Source organism: Homo sapiens, chromosome 2 (genome assembly GCF_000001405.40).
Source record: "Homo sapiens chromosome 2, GRCh38.p14 Primary Assembly".
NCBI classification, from domain to species: Eukaryota; Metazoa; Chordata; class Mammalia; order Primates; family Hominidae; genus Homo; species Homo sapiens.
Genome location: NC_000002.12, coordinates 149,837,199 through 149,859,444, shown reverse-complemented (window position 1 = coordinate 149,859,444; position 22,246 = coordinate 149,837,199). Strand labels below are relative to the sequence as shown.

The 22,246-nt window shown below is 38.7% G+C and overlaps 2 long non-coding RNA genes across 2 annotated transcripts in view; one reads left to right on the top strand and one right to left on the bottom strand.

The window, feature by feature from the left end:
- The first annotated feature begins 253 nt into the window (after positions 1-253).
- Positions 254-22,246, top strand: part of LINC01931 (long intergenic non-protein coding RNA 1931) — a 91,686-nt gene continuing 69,693 nt past the window's right edge. Inside the window, exons 1-2 of the long non-coding RNA NR_145421.1 lie at positions 254-402; positions 842-1,994. This is a non-coding gene — a long non-coding RNA (long intergenic non-protein coding RNA 1931). The remainder of the gene's footprint in view (positions 403-841; positions 1,995-22,246) is intronic.
- Positions 11,211-22,246, bottom strand: part of MMADHC-DT (MMADHC divergent transcript) — a 260,877-nt gene continuing 249,841 nt past the window's right edge. The window contains exon 3 of the long non-coding RNA NR_110240.1: positions 11,211-11,536. This is a non-coding gene — a long non-coding RNA (MMADHC divergent transcript). The remainder of the gene's footprint in view (positions 11,537-22,246) is intronic.

Below are 22,246 nucleotides of genomic sequence, written 5' to 3'. Positions count from 1 at the left end.
GCAAGGCAGATGTTGGAGAGGGAAGTTCGAGAATCCTTCTAAACCAGATGCACTTTGGGTTACTTCCTCTGCTTGATTCCAAAACAGCTGAACAGAATAAAACAAAAGAGGAAATGGGGACACCCAAACTGAACATTATGACTCTTTCAGCAATAGCCTTTAGAAACCCTCTCAGGATACTGTGACATCACAGAGATGTGTCATCTTCTTATAGAATTTTGCTCCAAAAGCAGGATTTATACCATTTCTAAATGCAATTAATGCTGAAACACAGCTAGCATACATAGCAATAACTTAGGCAAAAAGGCAACACTCAAGCAAAATCCTTCCTGGAATTAAAATCCTGTTATTAGGTCAACCAACTTTTCTTTTAACTAACTAAATAAACAACAGCAAGACATGGTAAGCTTTGACTCAGAGAAAAAGATTCTGGATTGACTCTCGGAAGCTTCCTGTTTCAATTCCAGCTCTGTAAGACTTTGGGTGATCTTTCTAAATTTACTTCCTTCCTCTTAATCTTAGTATTATCATGCATTTAAAGAAGAGCATTGGACTTGATGACACTTACGAATAAGTTTCTGGACATCTGTGTCCAGTGTCATATGAACAAATGAAATTAATACATTCAGATTTCACTTATCATTTTTACTCATTTCTTACCAATAGTCCCTCTTTTTTCAGTAATCCTTACCTCAGTTTAAAATGCCAACAATTGCCCTGTTTCCATAGCCAGAAATCTGCTAGTCATCTTCTTCTTTTCTATTTTTGGTAATACAGTGCTTCCTTAAGTGGTTCTATATAGTTTCACTACATTTTTTTTTTTTTTTTTTTTTTTTTGCAGAAACCTAGACCTATAAGTTTAGTACCTGAATCTCTTGCTGATTCATGCATTTCTATTAATCTTCTCAGTCAGATGTTTAGCTCAGATCTGTCCTCTTATCCAAGCTTTTCCAAGAGTCTCCTAGCTACACTTCTGGCATCATGTTACACCCTACAATCCAGCTCTTCACAGTCTCCTGACTTCTTTTTAAAAGTTGCATACTATATATACATCTCTCTCTTGCTTAACATTCCTCAGTTATTCCCTAGTGGACACAGAATAAAGTCTAGCTTCTTAGCATGTTACTTGGGCTCCTTCAGTGCCAGTCCCCACAAATTCCTCACTCATCTTGCAGAAGCTCCCAGTTTTCAATATTCTCCTAAATGCTGTGGAACCTCTGTCTATGCAGGATTCTAAAGATGAGGAAAATTAGTCCCTTAAGACTCAGCTTAAGCATTGCCCCTTGTGCCTTTACTGTTAGTTTGCCCCTCTGTTCTTAAGAGTTTATTCCTGGCATTGCTCTTAAGGGAAGGAAGTTTGGCAGGGCCAAGAGTCCTAAACGTTAGACCTTTCTCTCTAAACACTAACAACATTAAAACTCCATTCAAGAAGGAGCAAAAGAAGCCATCATCTAGAAACAATGTTGATAACCACAGTTCCTGAACTTGGGCTTGTTAAAAGACTTTATCTCCATGAGTATACTGAAACACATATTTAGTTTATCTCCTATTATCAAGAAAGAAATATTAAAACTTCACTGTTGAGGATCACTCTGAATATGAAAGTGCTCAAGACAATCAATCAGGTCTCGAGATCTAGAAATTAGTATAAGTACTGAGTGCTAGGGGAAAAAAATTATACTCTTCAAACTACATCCCTGGGAGTGTTAGTGATGTCATAATTCACTGAGGATCTAGAAACTACAGGATGGATACTTATAAAAGATAAGGGAAGTATAGTGCATAGGTTGCTGAGAGGTGGAGAGAAAGTTGCTTACTTTTCCTGAGCCTCAACTTTCTGAAAACATAGAAACACAATTAGATGATGAGTTATGAGGTGAAGGAGGGGATGACTCAGCAGCAATGTGCCAGCTCCATAGTGACTTCTCCACCAAGCTGGAGAAGGATTTGCAGCAATGGTTCCAGAACCAACTGTGTGTATCTACAGGATGAAGGTAAGTAGGGCGGCTATACTTCTACTTACCTAGTTTGCTTAGGACAGTTCTAGGTTATGCATGTTGTTTTAATAGATGTTTAAAAAGTTCCCACTTATGTTTTTTTAAATATCCAAATTTAGATAATAAATTATATAACTATAGTAAGATTTTTTTTCTCTGAAAATTAGTAGAAATTATGTATGTTTCTGGCTTTTGGTAAATGTGTTGATTATGGAGAAGGGCAGGAGTTTAGAGTTGGACTAGACTTCTCCTCCTTTTAAATCTCCCTTAAAAACATGTTTCTTCATTATGATACTCAATCTTTTAGCATAATTTAAAAATTCATGTAGCCCTTTAAAAATAACTTTTAGGTGATATTTACTTGGACTTAAATGTTCAGATTCCAGTGAGATCTTATTGAATTAAATTTCCAGGTTTCAGTGGGGAAAGGCTACCAGCAGTCCTTTTTGCCTATCCCTTAGGGGACTTAGGAAGGACAGAAAAGAGACAAAAATCAATGTAACATTTAAACAAAACAACACTGCAATCGTGCCGTGATAGCCATCTCAATGTGATATCATAAGTAGCCAGTGTTTTTCTTTTTTCCCTCAAAGAATATCATTCTTATTAAACTCCCCCAATGAAAGCATCCTTGCTAAGGGAATTCAGCAAAATACATACATAATTTTACCATCTGCAGAGGTGATAGCACTTAATTAGGAAAGCCAAGAGTATTAGAGGATGTTTTCAAAGCAGCACCTCAGGTAAGAGACCCCCCTCCCCACCTTTGTTGCTACTAATGGTACTGCAACTCATTTTATGCTCGTTGCATAACAGTATTTCCCCTAGAGAATATGGAATTCAAATCGGGTGAACAGATGCTCACAAATTAAAGTACTCTATGTGTGTACATGCAGCAATCATGGAAGGGTAGGTGGAGAGGAGACAGGATAAAAGAAGAAACAGACAAGACATTTGGAAACTATTGAATTCTTGTTTTTCTTTTTTTTTTTTATTATACTTTAAGTTTTAGGATACATGTGCACATTGTGCAGGTTAGTTACATATGTATACATGTGCCATGCTGGTGTGCAGCACCCACTAACACGTCATCTAGCATTAGGTATATCCCCCAATGCTATCCCTCCCCCCACCCCACAACAGTCCCCAGAGTGTGATATTCCCCTTCCTGTGTCCATGTGATCTCATTGTTCAATTCCCACCTATGAGTGAGAATATGCGGTGTTTGGTTTTTTGTTCTTGCGATAGTTTACTGAGAATGATGATTTCCAATTTCATCCATGTCCCTACAAAGGACATGAACTCATCCTTTTTTATGGCTGCATAGTATTCCATGGTGTATATGTGCCACATTTTCTTAATCCAGTCTATTATTGTGAGACATTTGGCATGGTTCCAAGTCTTTGCTATTGTGAATAATGCCGCAATAAACATACGTGTGCATGTGTCTTTATAGCAGCATGATTTATAATCCTTTGGGTATATACCCAGTAATGGGATTACTGGGTCAAATGGTATTTCCAGTTCTAGATCCCTGAGGAATCGCCACACTGACTTCCACAATGGTTGAACTAGTTTACAGTCCCACCAACAGTGTAAAAGTGTTCCTATTTCTCCACATCCTCTCCAGCACCTGTTGTTTCCTGACTTTTTAATGATTGCCATTCTAACTGGTGTGAGATGGTATCTCATTGTGGTTTTGATTTGCATTTCTCTGATGGCCAGTGATGATGAGCATTTTTTCATGTGTTTTTTGGCTACATAAATGTCTTCTTTTGAGAAGTGTCTGTTCATATCCTTCGTCCACTTTTTGATGGGGTTGTTTGTTTTTTTCTTGTAAATTTGTTTGAGTTCATTGTAGATTCTGGATATTAGCCCTTTGTCAGATGGGTAGGTTGCGAAAATTTTCTCCCATTTTGTAGGTTGCCTGTTCACTCTGATGGTAGTTTCTTTTGCTGTGCAGAAGCTCTTTAGTTTAATTAGATCCCATTTGTCAATTTTGTCTTGTGTTGCCATTGCTTTTGGTGTTTTAGACATGAAGTCCTTGCCCATGCCTATGTCCTGAAGGGTAATGCCTAGGTTTTCTTCTAGGGTTTTTATGGTTTTAGGCCTAACGTTTAAGTCTTTAATCCATCTTGAATTGATTTTTGTATAAGGTGTAAGGAAGGGATCCAGTTTCAGCTTTCTACATATGGCTAGCCAGTTTTCCCAGCACCATTTATTAAATAGGGAATCCTTTCCCCATTGCTTGTTTTTCTCAGGTTTGTCAAAGATCAGATAGTTGTAGATAGGCGGTGTTATTTCTGAGGGCTCTGTTCTGTTCCATTGATCTATATCTCTGTTTTGGTACCAGTACCATGCTGTTTTGGTTACTGTAGGCTTGTAGTATAGTTTGAAGTCAGGTAGTGTGATGCCTCCAGCTTTGTACTTTTGGCTTAGGATTGACTTGGCGATGCGGGCTCTTTTTTAGTTCCATATGAACTTTCAAGTAGTTTTTTCCAATTCTGTGAAGAAAGGCATTGGTAGCTTGATGGGGATGGCATTGAATCTGTAAATTACCTTGGGCAGTATGGCCATTTTCACGATATTGATTCTTCCTACCCATGAGCATGGAATGTTCTTCCATTTGTTTGTATCCTCTTTTATTTCCTTGAGCAGTGGTTTGTAGTTCTCCTTGAAGAGGTCCTTCACGTCCCTTGTAAGTTGGATTCCTAGGTATTTTATTCTCTTTGAAGCAATTGTGAATGGGAGTTCACTCATGATTTGGCTCTCTGTTTTTCTGTTGTTGGTGTATAAGAATGCTTGTGATTTTTGTACATTGATTTTGTATCCTGAGACTTTGCTGAAGTTGCTTATCAGCTTAAGGAGATTTTGGGCTGAGACAGTGGGGTTTTCTAGATATACAATCATGTCGTCTGCAAACAGGGACAATTTGACTTCCTCTTTTCCTAATTGAATACCCTTTATTTCCTTCTCCTGCCTGATTGCCCTGGCCAGAACATCCAACACTATGTTGAATAGGAGTGGTGAGAGAGGGCATCCCTGTCTTGTGCCAGTTTTCAAAGGGAATGCTTCCAGTTTTTGCCCATTTAGTATGATATTGGCTGTGGGTTTGTCATAGATAGCTCTTACTATTTTGAAATACGTCCCATCAATACCTAATTTATTGAGAGTTTTTAGCATGAAGGGTTGTTGAATTTTGTCAAAGGCTTTTTCTGCATCTATTGAGATAATCATGTGGTTTTTGTCTTTGGCTCTGTTTATATGCTGGATTACATTTATTGATCTGCGTATATTGAACCAGCCTTGCATCCCAGGGATGAAGCCCACTTGATCATGGTGGATAAGCTTTCTGATGTGCTGCTGGATTCATTTCGCCAGTATTTTATTGAGGATTTTTGCATCAATGTTCATCAAGGATATTGTTCTAAAATTCTCTTTTTTTGTTGTGTCTCTGCCTGGCTTTGGTATCAGAATGATGCTGGCCTCATAAAATGAGTTAGGGAGGATTCCCTCTTTTTCTATTGATTGGAATAGTTTCAGAAGGAATGGTACCAGTTCCTCCTTGTACCTCAGGTAGAATTCGGCTGTGAATCCATCTGGTCCTGGATTCTTTTTGGTTGGTAAGCTATTGATTATTGCCACAACTTCAGATCCTGTTATTGGTCTATTCAGAGATTCAACTTCTTCCTGATTTAGTCTTGGGAGAGTGTATGTGTCGAGGAATTTATCCATTTCTTCTAGATTTTCTAGTTTATTTGTGTAGAGGTGCTTATAGTATTCTCTGATAGTAGTTTGTATTTCTGTGGGATTGGTTGTGATATCCCCTTTATCATTTTTTATTGCGTCTATTTGGTTCTTCTCTCTTTTTTTCTTTATTAGTCTTGCTAGTGGTCTATCAATTTTGTTGATCCTTTCAAAAAACCAGCTCCTGGATTCATTGATTTTTTGAAGGGTTTTTTGTGTCTCTATTTCCTTCAGTTCTGCTCTGATTTTTGTTATTTCTTGCCTTCTGCTAGCTTTTGAATGTGTTTACTCTTGCTTTTCTAGTTCTTTTAATTGTGATGTTAGGGTGTCAATTTTGGAACTTTCCTGCTTTCTCTTGCGGGCATTTAGTGCTATAAATTTCCCTCTACACACTGCTTTGAATGTGTCCCAGAGATTCTAGTATGTTGTGTCTTTGTTCTCGTTGGTTTCAAAGAACATCTTTATTTCTGCCTTCATTTTGTTATGTACCCAGTAGTCATTCAGGAGCAGGTTGTTCAGTTTCCATGTAGTTGAGCAGCTTTGAGTGAGATTCTTAATCCTGAGTTCTAGTTTGATTGCAGTGTGGTCTGAGAGATAGTTTGTTATAATTTCTGTTCTTTTACATTTGCTGAGGAGAGCTTTACTTCCAAGTATGTGGTCAATTTTGGAATAGGTGTGGTGTGGTGCTGAAAAAAAATGTATATTCTGTTGATTTGTGGTGGAGAGTTCTGTAGATGTCTATTAGGTCTGCTTGGTGCAGAGCTGAGTTCAAGTCCTGGGTATCCTTGTTGACTTTCTGTCTCGTTGATCTGTCTAATGTTGACAGTGGGGTGTTAAAGTCTCCCATTATTAATGTGTGGGAGTCTAAGTCTCTTTGTAGGTCACTCAGGACTTGCTTTATGAATCTGGGTGCTCCTGTATTGGGTGCATATATATTTAGGATAGTTAGCTCTTCTTGTTGAATTGATCCCTTTACCATTATGTAATGGCCTTGTCTCTTTTGATCTTTGTTGGTTTAAAGTCTGTTTTATCAGAGACTAGGATTGCAACCCCTGCCTTTTTTTGTTTTCCATTTGCTAGGTAGATCTTCCTCCATCCTTTTATTTTGAGCCTACGTGTGTCTCTGCACGTGAGATGGGTTTCCTGAATACAGCACACTGATGGGTCTTGAATCTTTATCCAATTTGCCAGTCTGTGTCTTTTAATCGGAGGATTTAGTCCATTTACATTTAAAGTTAATATTGTTATGTGTGAATTTGATCCTGTCATTATGATGTTAGCTGGTTATTTTGCTCGTTAGTTGATGCAGTTTCTTCCTAGTCTTGATGGTCTTTACATTTTGGCATGATTTTGTAGCGGCTGGTACCGGTTGTTCCTTTCCATGTTTAGCGCTTCCTTCAGAAGCTCTTTTAGGGCAGGCCTGGTGGTGACAAAATCTCTCAGCATTTGCTTGTCTGTAAAGTATTTTATTTCTCCTTCACTTATGAAGCTTAGTTTGGCTGGATATGAAATTCTGGGTTGAAAATTCTTTTCTTTAAGAATGTTGAATATTGGCCCCCACTCTCTTCTGGCTTGTAGGGTTTCTGCTGAGAGATCTGCTGTTAGTCTGATGGGCTTCCCTTTGAGGGTAACCCGACCTTTCTCTCTGGCTGCCCTTAACATTTTTTCCTTCATTTCAACTTTGGTGAATCTGACAATTATGTGTCTTGGAGTTGCTCTTCTCGAGGAGTATCTTTGTGGCATTCTCTGTATTTCCTGAATTTGAATGTTGGCCTGCCTTGCTAGATTGGGGAAGTTCTCCTGGATAATATCCTGCAGAGTGTTTTCCAACTTGGTTCCATTCTCCCCATCACTTTCAGGTACACCAATCAGACGTAGATTTGGTCTTTTCACATAGTCCCATATTTCTTGGCGGCTTTGCTCATTTCTTTTTATTCTTTTTTCTCTAAACTTCCCTTCTCGCTTCATTTCATTCATTTCATCTTCCATTGCTGATACCCTTTCTTCCAGTTGATCGCATTGGTTCCTGAGGCTTCTGCATTCTTCACGTAGTTCTCGAGCCTTGGTTTTCAGCACCATCAGCTCCTTTAAGCACTTCTCCGTATTGGTTATTCTAGTTATACATTCTTCTAAATTTTTTTCAAAGTTTTCAACTTCTTTGCCTTTGGTTTGAATGTCCTCCCGTAGCTCAGAGTAATTTGATCGTCTGAAGCCTTCTTCTCTCAGCTAGTCACAGTTATTCTCCATCCAGCTTTGTTCCGTTGCTGGTGAAGAACTGCATTCCTTTGGAGGAGGAGGAGGCGCTCTGCTTTTTAGAGTTTCCAGTTTTTCTGTTCTGTTTTTTCCCCATCTTTGTGGTTGTATCTACTTTTGGTCTTTGATGATGGTGATGTACAGATGGGTTTTTGGTGTGGATGTCCTTTCTGTTTGTTAGTTTTCCTTCTAACAGACAGGACCCTCAGCTGCAGGTCTGTTGGAATACCCTGCCGTGTGAGGTGTCAGTGTGCCCCTGCTGGGGGGTGCCTCCCAGTTATGCTGCTCAGGGGTCAGGGGTCAGGGACCCACTTGAGGAGACAGTCTGCCCATTCTCAGATCTCCAGCTGCGTGCTGGGAGAACCACTGCTCTCTTCAAAGCTGTCAGACAGGGACATTTAAGTCTGCAGAAGTTACTGCTATCTTTTTGTTTGTCTGTGCCCTGCCCCCAGAGGTGGAGCCTACAGAGGCAGGCAGGCCTCCTTGAGCTGTGGTGGGCTCCACCCAGTTCGAGCTTCCCGGCTGCTTTGTTTACCTAATCAAGCCTGGGCAATGGTGGGTGCCCCTCCCCCAGCCTGGCTGCCACCTTGCAGTTTGATCTCAGACTGCTGTGCTAGCAATCAGCGAGACTCCCTGGGCGTAGGACCCTCCGAGCCAGGTGCGGGATATAATCTCGTGGTGCGCCGTTTTTTAAGCCCGCCGGAAAAGTGCAGTATTCTGGTGGGAGTGACCCGATTTTCCAGGTGCCGTCTGTCACCCCTTTCTTTGACTAGGAAAGGGAACTCCCTGACCCCTTGCGCTTCCCAAGTGAGGCAATGCCTCGCCCTGCTTCGGCTCGCGCACTTTGCACGCACCCACTGACCTGTGCCCACTGTCTGGCACTCCCTAGTGAGATGAACCCGGTACCTCAGATGGAAATGCAGAAATCACCATCTTCTGCGTCGCTCACCACCGGAGCTGTTCCTATGCAGCCATCTTGGCTCCTCCCTCCTTGTTTTTCTTTTCTCTGATCACTTCTTATCTCTACGAACTCCTCTCCTCCTTTTTGTCATCTTGTTGCCCATCATCACATTATTTTTCCCACAACCTCTCAGTTTCCATTGACAGAGGGTTGTTCTCTCTGAGCAGTCACAATTGAGTAGTGGGAGACTTGTGTTTTTAGATGCCAAAAGTCAGTCTCTGTCTTTCTCCCTTTCTTTGTAATCATAGAATTGGGTTTTAGTAGTTTGACTGGGAAACATAGCTTGCAAATAACTGAATTTGCTTTTTTAGGCTGTAATTCAGCAGGCAGAGAAATTAGCTTCATCCTGGACAGTAGGGTTTACACAACGCTGGTCTCTAGTTCCTTCCCCTTTGCAGTTTTTTCTCTCTACAGATCACAGTCTTTGACCCTGGCTTGTTAGTTGAGGATCATTCAGGCTCACCTTCACCCAATCCTAAATCCCAATCATTTTTCCCCAATCTTGACTCCAGTCAAAATGTACTCCTTCTACTCCTACATCCCACCAAGCATCTAATTTTCCTCTAGGAAATAGTCCAAGCCATTTGTGCTAATGTGCCTGACAAGGACATACATTTAGAGCTCATTATTTCATGTTTTTAAAAAGCTTTCCTTCATAGAAATTAATCCTTCCTAAGTGAAAAATATTGCCAAGATCTCATTGAGCATTGCCTTTGGGGATTTTCTTTGTCTGTGTATTAGAATAGATGTCAGTGGCTCATGAAAAACAGCCACAGCTCACGAATAAACATTTTAATGAATATACTTATTTCTTCCCATCCTCCTGCCCCAGTTGAATTTTTTTAAAATGCATATGATTTTTACTAAACAATAATGATTTGTAATTTTTACTGTGGGGCTTAGAGAGGAATTATAAAACCCCAAATATTTCCCTGTCCTCCATCATTCTTCACATCACATTATTTTACTCATTAAACAATGTTTTAAAATCTCCCAGATTAATTTTTTCTACTCAGGTTACAACAAATCAGCGTTCTTCTCAAGAGGGCCATTCCTCATGTGCCTTATCTGTTTTTGAGAACCTCGATGGTAGATTGGTCTGTGTAACCACATGTGGTAAGGTCAATCAAGCTCATCTTGTCAAACTTGTCATAACCCTGGGATTTCACACAACAGAATTTCCCCTCATGCATTCTTAGCAATGCCACACAACAGGGGGATTTTAGAATTCATTATGCAAGCTTATATTCTCTGCAGTGAGTGGTGTTTCAACAAAATTTCCAGCATTTTGAAATTGGGTAACAAAAAATAAACAGAAGAAGAAAATAATGTCTCACTTCACCTATTTCCATGTAGAAAATTCATAGCAAAAAGAAAAAAGAAAAAAAAAATTTTTTAACCCATGGTAGGGGCTTAAGGGCAGAGGGATGGTCTGAGCATAAAAATCACATTTGCTTCAGCCATCCAGAAAACATCTTTGTTTACCATTGTTGTGTTGCGAAGGAAACACTGGCTACTTAGGACATCAGGTTGAGATGGCTCTCACAGCACGGTTGCACTGTTGTTTAAATGTTACACTGATTCTTTTCTCTTCTTTGTCCTTCCCAAGTCCCCCAAGGCATAGGCAAAAAGGATCACTGGTAGCCAAAGACCGTAAAAGAGAGAAACTAGATAGTAGACTATATTTAGCTACATTTGGATTATTATCTTATTTTTAGACCAATCATGGCAAATGTGCTTTGGGGTTCATAGTGGCAGTATTCACACATCTATGCCCTAACCTCCTCACCTGCCATCTCTTTCCCAAAACTCTCAAACAGAAATGGTAGATTTTGGTTTCATCGAAAGACAAAAAGGAAGCATCCTGAACCTTTTCCTGGAGCATCTCAGGTCTTTACGGCATAGCCTTGCCCTCAGCTGTGTTAACATGAACTTTTTCCTTTCCATTTCCAACTGGCCCTGACTCCCTGTGACCACGGAAACCCATGAATAATAGAATGTGACCCTCCCCATATATATAACTGTCCCCTGCCAGCTTCCCTACAATGTTTCCTGAGAAAAACTTTCTGCCCATCACCCTGAAAATGTAGGAAAGATTTCAGTCAGCTGTTAGAAAGAAGTACACAAGTACGTGAGTGCAGTAATATCCAATGGTCTGTGCATGAGGATGAGGGTCAGGAGGAGAAGCACCAAGGAAATGCTGGTGGGCTGAGGTGCAAGTTTCTGCAAAAGAGGGACTCTACAACTGCATGTACTTTGTGCACATAGCCTTTAATGCTTTGAGATTGTTTTGGAATTTCTGGCACATTTTGAGAAGAAAACTGCCTGTGTCTCTACTTGGCTCTCTGAGAAAAAAAATGAGTTTACGTACTAGAGGAACTATACATTGTAGGCTTGGAAACAGGCTGGCACACTGAATAATGGCAGTCTACCGTAGGTGCTCAGAAATGGAAGCAGAGCTGTATTGTCTGCTACCTGCATGTGTAATGAACTTCATAGCTTGCTATGGTGGCAGGGAGATCATGCGGAGTGTTCAGCTTCACACGGAGCCTGGGAACAAGGTCCAGGGGAGAAGTATCTGCAAAAACAGAAGGAAAATGAGTTACATAGTTTCAGATAGGCAGGAGAAATGGGCCTTGAGATCTATTGCATAGCGGGATGACTATAGTCAAGAAGAATGTCTTGTATACAGTATTTCAAAATAATAACAGTATAAATTTTAAATGTCTCACCATAAAAAAGGACAAGTAAATGAGGTGCTAGATATGTTAATTAGCTTGATTTAATCATCCCACATTGTATGCAAATATCAAAATATCACATTATATCTCATAAATGTATACAATTATGATTTGACAAGCAAAAACAAGACCAGATAGTCCCAATGTTCTTTAAATTGTCTCAGGATATTAAAAGCCAAGAAAAACTGTTCAATTTTTTATAAGGCAGGTATAACTTTGATATTTGTGCCTAATAAAGATAGTAGCAAAAATCTTAAGATGTGATAGGAAGTTTAAGGAGACAAAGTTGACAGGACAGGCATTTTAAAGATAAAATATTACTTCTGTGAGGCACATGATGTTTTAATAAAGAATCATGCGAAGTGGGCAATGTATTTACAATGGTGCCAATGCTTCACGAGTGGTAGCATCTGACTACATGATTCCTGAAAGCACAAAGTGTGCTGGATGTGGGGCATCTCTGTTCCACAAGCCCTTCACTAGGGCAAACCCTGCACTAATTCCATATCCACCTTTCTTCCTTGGGTTCCTCCTTGGCAGCGTGGACATACTGAATTGTCCTCTTGCTGTTCACACACTTCACACTATTGTCACATCCACCCATCCTGCCATTTCTGGATACCTTCCCCCATTTCTAATCTTTACTGCATCTCCTTCCATATTTAACTCACCAAGGTCTCAAATCCATGAAATAAAACTCTATCTGTTGCAAGGTGATTGGGAGAGCAATGGAACTATAGGCCATATTTGGGGTAGCTGAGATCATTTTCAACACTCAATTCAAAAAGTAGCTCACTATTTGCCAAACCTCCTCAATAGCTAACCCTGCATTGAGCGCACAGCATTCGGGACCTCAAGACAGTACAAGGGAGATCTGTATTTGGAACTACTGACTTAAGGCAAAATCTAGAACCATCATTCCTTTCTCCTCCTAGGGAGGAATCAATTTTTTCAAGTAGTCCACCATGTGTGGGCATAAACGTGATTATCCATAGCTCACATAAATACTTCGTTTAATATATATATTCTATGTTTTTAAGACCCAACACATTTATCTCAAATAGAAAATGAGGATACATATATTCTTGTTATTTGAAATTCATGTAGTTTGAAAAGAAGGCATAGAAAATAAACTACATAATTTTGTAAGTCATTAAGATTTTGAAAAAAGGTGAAAGTAAGCCCCTATTTTTGTATGTTATTGTTTTCTACAGAGAGAGAAAAAATGTTTATATTTTGAAAGAAAGGTGCTTTATTAAGAATTACATTTTCAATGAAAATAGAAATATGTGAATAATCACATTAAGACTAAACAGTGGGCCAGACGCAATGGCTCAAGCCTGTAATCCTAGCACTTTGGGAGGCTGAGGCAGGCGGATCATGAGGTCAGGAGATTGAGACCATCCTGGCTAACACGGTGAAACCCCATCTCTACTAAAAATACAAAAAATTAGCCAGGCGTGTGGCAAGGGCCTGTAGTCCCAGCTACTCGGGAGGCTGAGACAGGAGAATGGCGTGAACCTGGGAGGCGGAGCTTGCAGTGAGCCCAGTTTGCGCCACTGCACTCCAGCCTGGGCGACAGAGTGAGACTCCGTTTCAAAAAAAACAAAAAAGACTAAACAACGATGCCATAAAGAATTATTGTCAAGTACTAACTGATACACTGATGCCTTTAAAAGAAAATCCAAAAATTATGACTAAGTATAATTACATTCACATAGAAAATTACATTATGTACATTCACATGTACAATTACATATACATTTTAATATTTTATATTGCACTTGCTTATGAACTCTGATTTTTCAGGTGAGCAGTTGTTAGCTATCTTTAATTTTGTTCCAAAACAATTGATTTTTTAAATTCAAATGCAGGACTTTGTATTTTTTCTATGAAATTATATCTTATCAAAGTGTTGCATTACTCTTGTTAACCTAATATCACAGATGCTGAGAACCTGATGACTTTCAGATTTTTATTCTATGAAAGCCAGAAGATTAATCAACATTTTCAGAAAGAAGATTAAATAACATGGAGAAAGCTTGCTAACTCCCTGGATAAGTAGTAATAGGTTGGTTGATGAAGGATAATAAGAATCTACCTTGTAGCTCCAAGAATCCTTTTGAATAACATTTTTTGTACCTTTTATTTTGATGTACAAGGAAATCCCATTACACTCATTACCCAGATTCTACAAGTATTTACTTTTTTGCCTAATTTCTTTTTTTCTATTTGTGTATGTATATGTACATTTTTTTTTCTGAACCATGACAGTAAGCTGGAGTCAATATGTTTCTTTACCCCTAAAAATTTTAGGGTGATTTGCTTAAGAGCAAGGACATTCTCTTACAGAACGCCTGCATAGTTATCACAATCAAGAAACTTAACTTTGATACCTGAAGATTATGTACCGAATGCTTGTGTCCCCCACACAGATTCATATGTTGAAGTCCTAACCCTCAATGTGATGGTGTTTGGAGATGGGGCCTTTGGGAGGTGGTTAGGCTTAGATGAGGTTATGAGGATGAGGCCCTGGGGCCCTGGTCCAATGAGATTGGTGAACCAGGACTCTCTCTTGCTCTCTCTCTCTCTCTCGTGTGTGTGTGTGTGTGTGTGTGTGTGTGTGCCTGTGCATACAAAGAAGAGGTCATGTGAGCACACAGCAAGATGGTGGCTCTGTAACCCAAAGGAAGAGCCCTCATCAGAAAACAACCAGGCGACACTCTAATCTTAGACTTTTAGCCACCAGAATTGTGAAAAAATGAATTTCTGTTGTTTAAACGACCCAGAATATGGTATTTTGTTGTGGCAGCCCACAGATACTAAGATACCAATCCAGAATTCATATCCAAATTTTTTCAATTGTTCCAATAATGTTCTTTACAGCCATTTTTTCCTTAAGTTGAGGATCCAACCAAGGAACATATATTTTATTTAGTTGTCAAATCTCTTTAATTTCCGTTCATCTAGAAGCTTTCCTCTGTCTTTTAATCCTTCATGAGCTTGACAATTTTGAAGGGTACTTGTCAATTACTTCATAGGATGCTTCTTGCTTTGGGTTTGGTTGATGTTTCCTCATGATTAAATTCAGGTCATTGGCTTTGGCAAGACTTCTGTGGAAGTGATAGCTTGTCCTTCTCTTGATCATATCTGAAAATATTTGATGTTAGTGTGCCCAGTAGTAACAAAGCTTACTTTGGTATACAGCACTTTTTCCACTGAAAAGTTTTTTTGTCTTTGTAATTAATAAAGAATTTGTTTGGGATACTTTAAGCCTATGCAAATATACCAGTTCTTGTCAAGAATTTTATCCACCAGTTTTAGCATCCACCATTTCTTCTACATTAATTGGTTGGCACTCTACTGTCAAGAAAAGCAGCTTTCACTTATCTATTTGCATGTTTTGGAAATTAATATAAGAATGGACTCGTGAATTCTTATTTTATATAATGAATTGTAATTATTACAATTATTATTGTTGTTGTTATATTTTGATGCTGAAATCGTTCTCAAATCTGTCCAGTGGAAGTCCCTTCGAGCTGGTTCCTATGTTCTTTTGACATGGGTCTGTCATTCCTTGGACATCTTCTTACTGTCTGTCACAAAATGTTCCAGGCTCGTCTTGTTCTTTCCTTCCCAAATTCCACAATCAGTCATCTCTCCAAGAAGCCCTGGATCTGATTCCTTTTAGTGGAGATTATGATTATAGATCAAGATCATCTGGGTTCTAGGTGTGTGCTTTGCTATAGGTACAGCATTGTTTCAAGGTCTCTAGGCAGACAGAGGTAGGCTACTTGTGTGCACACACACAGACACCATATATATATTATATATATATATATATACACACACACACACACATACACACACACACACACAAACATATATACACACCACATATATATACACACACACAAACATATAATTAGTTTTATCTATATTGTTCAGAAGTTGAGAGCTAATCTATTTTCTTTCTTCCTTTTCTTTGTTTTTCTTTCCTCTTCTGACTACCATTTTCTCCTTATCTTTTTCCATTCTTCCTTTAATTTTCATTTTTCCCCCATGTCTATTCATAGTCTCCTTACTTATAGTCAAAAGAAAAGGGTCTCTGGATTTTCTGGATACAAAAATCATGTACCTCTCTCTGGCACTGAAGAAAAAATGGGATAGACAGGAGAGGGGCTGCAGACTGAAAGTGTCCCAGGAAGAGATATAGACCTATCAGCCCTCAGCAGCATGCTATGACCTAACAAGCCCCTTATTCTCTAGCCATCAATAAATGCCAGCTTAAAATATACCTTTGGGTGTTGTTTCTGGCAACTGTCCTTTGTAGTATGTCTCAGTCTGGTCAAAATTCACTATAGAGAAATGAGGAGAATCAGGGCTTAATATTTAAAACATCCTAGGCCTAAGCCTTTAAACACTTAAACATCATCTTAAAAATAAATACATAAAAATGAAAAACTTCACAGTTAAAAAATTATACTAAACACTTTAACTTTTAAAAAGATACTTGAATAAAAGATTTATAGGCTAGAGCAGTACTGCAAAAGAAAATATTTGGAGATTCATAATTTGACACAAATTGTTTTTCTACCTTAACTTCTGAAAGATCTAATTAAGGAAGGAGTTTTTCTTTTCTTTTTTTATAAAATAATATGTCCTGACAAACTGCATGAATATAAAATATATATGTTTGGTGTAAGTGTAGGACTCACAAATTAACCTTTCTTGTACAAATGCAGGGTTTGTTAAACAAGAGCTTCCCAATCCAGTACTCTTTTCAAGAATATTCCAGTAAAAAATTCATCTAGGTTGAATTATCTGTCATATTCTTAGCCTTGCAGCTTTTAACAAATCATGGACTCAGAATTTTATAGTCTGAAGAAACCTTCCAAATTACGCATTTCTATCTTCTTCTGATTTCACTTGTAAAGGAATTACTTATTTCAATAATTTTAAAAGGCAGAGACTATTGAGAATTTTACATCACTTTTAATCAAATTCTCTTAGTGCCTATCATATGGTTATACATAAATTAGCTTCCAAATATTCCAATCAAACATTCCTTCAGTTTGAACTCTTACCATGTACCAGGAACTGTGTGACTGTGTGGGTGCTGTGCATGCAGCACTCTGGCTAGTGTGTGGGAAATCAATGGTAGAGGATTGTGGACAGAAGAAGGAAGACCAGTTAGGAGGTGCCTGCAATCATAGCCTAAGAAAGAAATCATTATGATACAGACTAGCAGGATAGGCAAACTGATGCGTTAGTTGGATTTAGATATATGTTATAGAACTCACAGAATAGGCTAACGGAGAGGATATGGAATATGTGAAAAAGAAAGAGGTTAAAGATGGAAATTGCAGGATTGTATTTGTGTTTTAGCCTGAAGTCTAAAGCTGGTCTTTATATCAGGATGGGAAACACTAAGGGAGAATAGGTTTGGGGTGGATTATATCAGGATGGGAAACACTAAGGGAGAATAGGTTTGGGGTGGAAAAGAAATCAAGTGTGTTTTGTGGGTATGATACTTTTGAGATGTGTATTTGATTTCCAAGTGGAGATGTGTAAATATTCCAAGTGGATAACTTATATGGGGTTCACTGGAAAGATCAGGACTGGAGAAATCATCAGCTTATAAATAGGATTTTATAGCCTCAGACTAGGACCCAAAGGCATATTTTTAACCGGCATTTATCTAAGACTTACCGTGTACCAGCAACTGCTCTGAGTGCCTACATGCATTGATACATTTAGCTCTCCCAGCAATCCAACTCAGTCAGGTAGATACCTTTATTATTATTGCTGTTTACAAATAAATAAACTAAGATCAAAGAGAGACTAGGTAATGTGCTCCAGATTGCATTTCTAGTAAATGCCAAAGCAGAATTTGAACCCTAGCAATCTGAGTTTACAGCCCTGCTCCTAACCATTATGTTGCTCCTATTTATGTAATATGACCCTGCTCAAAAGAAACTTGTGATGTAGTTGAACAAATAAAAGTAACGCACATGAAAAACACAAAGATAAGTTAGGTACTAAAATGTCATGGTATTGACTGTGAGTCAAAGAAGTTTGGAATAGGTTTGAACTTCTTAGATAATAGGACATAGCAATAATTAGCTGCTTCATTGTGATTGAATTACACACTGGAGATCTGAAATAATTTAACAGGTTCCATAAATATCCAATTTATAGCCACAAATTAGCTTAGTCATGGGTATTATCATGCTCATAATAGCTAATCATTTAGATATTGTGCACACCTTGCCCTACTGCCAGCAGTTTTGTAAAACCTCACTGTCATTTAAGTCTTTCTTAATCAACCTTCATCAAGTGGCAGTAAAGAGTTCATTTCTAAATGAACCAAAAGGTTCATTTCATTAACCCTTTGTCTTCTAAACAGACAATTATAGTCTATATTCACTTTGTTCTACATTATAAGCAAAAACTTAGAAACTTCGTGGGAATTCCAATTAATTCAACAGAAACTTATTGAGCACCAAATTGAGAGTGGAAATGCACTAAGCCCTGTGAGATTGTTAAAGCCTTTGCTCCAAGATTTTGCCAGCTCTATGCCAAATTATGCTCAATAATCTTTCTCTTTTGAATGTAAGCTGGGATCTCTAACTTACTGACAAGGAAATACTTCTACTTTTCTTACAACAAGATGACCAACTAACTTTTAGATCCCTGCTTTAAAGTATTGCTTTTGCTGACATTAGTGCTGAAAATTTGTGTTGTGAGAAAAAACTCCCTAGAAATCCTTTTCCAGCTCCAAGAATAATTGGAACTGAGCAGTGTCTCCAGCAACAATGAGTGTTTGGTGCTTTAGTTTAGTGTTGAACATGGCCCATGTGCCAAATCCAGCCAATCATCTGTTTTTGTATGACCATAAGTTAAGAATGGTTTTTCCATTTTTAAGTGGTTGAAAAAATAAATAGCATTTCATTACATATGAAAATTTTATGAAATTCACATTTCAGTGTTCATAAATAAAGTTTTTTTGGAACACACCCATTCACTCATATATTTCTCATGGCTATTTTTACACTCTACAATGGTAGACATGAGAATTCTTGACAGAGACCATATTTCTGGTCCTTTATTGGAAAATTTCTCTAATTTTTGAAAACAAGGCTCTGGTCATAACCAATTTTGGCATATAAAATATCTGTTTATTTTTGTACTTCTGTTCTTAAAAATCATAATCCTATATAGCAGAACTAATTCAAAAGTAAGAGGGGAATATTTATCAATGAGTGAGAAAATAGAACTACATTCAAGCAAACCAATCATTCATCATTAAAAAATAAATTTGATCACAGTCTCTGTATAAAGCCAAATCGGATTTACTATTTGGTTGCTTTTTAATGACCTTCCATTTTTTCTTTAAGAGAGTTTATTCCTAAATGTTTTCACATGGGGAACTCCAGGACTCTGTACACATGCATCAGTTTTGGCCATTTTCTGTTGAAGAAAGTAGAGGAAGACTTTTTGATCTGAAAAAAGGAGCTCTTGGGTTTGACAAAAGCAAGAAAATTATTTCACAATTACATATGGCTTTGATTAGTCATAGTTGTCAAAACTCAGCAATGTCTTGTCATTCCTACAACAACTTGATAACTTGGCAAACTAGGTATATTTATCATTAGTTTGAAGTAAGGAAACAGAGACCTAAAGTATCATTGCACTATAATGAAAAAAAAAGAAAAAGCATAGGGCTTAGAGTCAAAACCCCAGTCCCCCATCCCACTCAACTCCCCAAGAACCATGTGTCCCTTATCTAAAAATGGAAGTGAGAACCCTTGACTAACTAACTTCACTGAGATGTTGTAAAGATCAGATGAGATGAATATGAGCATGCTCTGAAAACTCCATAAAATATTTTATTAAAAGGAAAAAGAGGCTTCTCTAGATTCCTCCTCTCTGGGCAGGGCATCTCTAAAAGAAAGGCAGCAACCCCAGTTAGAGGCTTATAGATAAAACTCCCATCGCCCTGGGACGGAGCACCTGCAGGGAGGGGTAGCTGTGGGCACAGCTTCAGCAGACTTAAACGTTCCTGCCTGCTGGCTCTAAGAGAGCAGCGGCTCTCCCAGTACAGCATCCTAGCTCTCCCAGTATAGACTGCCTCCTTAAGTGGGTCACTGACCCCTGTTCCTCCTGACTGGGAGACATCTCCCAGCAGGGGTTGGCAGACACCTCATATAGGATGGCTCTGGCTGGCATCTGGTGGGTGCCCCTCTGGGACAAAGCTTTCAGAGGAAGAAACAGGCAGCAATCTTTGCTGTTCAGCAGCCTCCACTGGTGATACCCATGCAAACAGGGTCTGGAGAGGACTTCCAGCAAACTCCAGCAGACCTGCAGCAGAGGGGCCTGACTGTTAGAAGAAAAACTAACAAAGAGAAAGGAATAGCATTAACATCAACAAAAAAGATGTCCACAGAAACCCCATCCAAAGGTGACCAACAACAAAGACCAAAGGTAGGTAAATCCATGAAGATGAGGAAAAACTAGTGCAAAATGGCTAAAAATTCCAAAAAACAGAAACCTCTTCTCCTCAAAAGGATCACAACTCCTCACCAGCAAGGGAACAAAACTGGACGGAGAGTGAGTTTGATAAACTGACAGAAGTAGTCTTCAGAAGGTGGGTAATAACAAACTGCTCCGAGCTAAAGGAGCATGTTCTAACCCAGTGCAAGGCAACTAAGAACCTTGAAAACAGGTTAGAGGAATTGCTAATTAGAATAACCAGTTTAGAGAAGAACATAAATAACCTGATGGAGCGAAAAACATAGCACAAGAACTTCATGAAGCATACAAAAGTTGTCAGATTCATCAAGGTTGAAATGAAGGAAAAGTTTTAAGGGCAGCTAGAGAAAAAGGTCAGGTTACCCCCAAAGGGGAGTCCCTCAGACTAACAGCAGATCTTTCTGCAGAAACCTTACAAGCCAAAAGATAGTGGGGGCCAATATTCAACATTCTTAAAGAAAAGAATTTTCAACCCAGAATTTCATCTCCAGCCAAACTAAGCTTCATAAGCAGAAGGAGAAATGAAATCCTTTACAAACAAACAAATGGTGACAGATTTTATCACCATCAAGCCTGCCTTACAAGTGCTCCTGAAGGAAGCACTAAATATAGAAAGGAAAAACTGGTACCAGCACCTGCAAAATCATACCAAATTGTAAAGAAAGACCATCAACACTATGTAGAAACTGCATCAATTAATGGACAAAATGACCAGCTGGAATCATAATGACAGGATCAAATTCACACATAACAATATTAACCTTAAATGTAAACAGGCTAAATGCCCCAATTAAATGACACAGATGGGAGAATTGGATAAAGAGTCAAGATCCATCAGAGTCTGTGTTCAGGAGACACATCTCATGTGCAAAGATGCACATAGGTTCAAAATAAAGGGATGGAGGAATATTTACCAAGCAAATGGAAAGCAAAAAAAGCAGGGGTTGCAATCCTAGTCTCTGATAAAACAGACTTTAGGCTGGGCACAGTGGCTCACGCCTATAATCCCAGCACTTTGGGAGGCCAAGGTGGGCAGATCACAAGGTCAAGAGCTACAGACAATTCTGGCCAACATTGTGAAACCCCATCTCTACTAAAAGTACAAAAATTAGCTGGGTGTGGTGGCGTGCACCTGTAGTCCCAGCTACCCGGGAGGCTGAGGCAAGAGAATCACTTGAATGTGGGAGGCGGAGGTTGCAGTAAGCTGAGATCATGCCACTGTACTCCAGCCTGGTGACAGAGCAAGATTCTGTCTCAAAAACAAAACAAACAAACAAACAAAAAACAAAACTAACAAAAAAAAAAAACAGATTTTAAACCAACAGGGATCAAAAAAGACAAAGAAGGGCATTATATAATGGAAAAGGGATCAATGCAACAAGAAGAGCTACCTATCCTAAATATATATGCACCCAATACAGGAGCACCCAGATTCATAAAACAAGCTCTTAGAGACCTATAAGGAGACTTAGACTCCCACAGAATAATAGTGGGAGACATTAACATCCCACTGTCAATATTAGACAGATCAATGAGACAGAAAATTAACAAGGATGTTCAGGACTTGAACTCAGCTCTGGACCAGCAGACCTAATGGTTATCTACAGGACTCTCCACCCCAAATCAACAGAATATACATTCTTCTCAGCGCCACACTGCACTTATTCTAAAATTGACCGCATAATTGGAGGTAAAACACTCCTCAGCAAATGAAAAATACAGAAATCATAACAGTCTTTCAGACCACAGTGAAATTAAATTAGAACTCAGGATTAAGAAACTCACTCAAAACTGCACAACTACAGTTGTGGAAACTGTAGTTGGAAACTGAACAACCTGCTCCTGAATGACTACTGGGTAAAAAATGAAATGAAGGCAGAAATAAAAAAGTTCTTTGAAACTAATGAGAACAAAGACACAACATACCAGAATCTCTGAGACACAGCTAAAGCAGTGTTTAGAGGGAAATTTATAGCTCTAAATGCCCACAGGAGAAAGCAGGAAAGATCTAA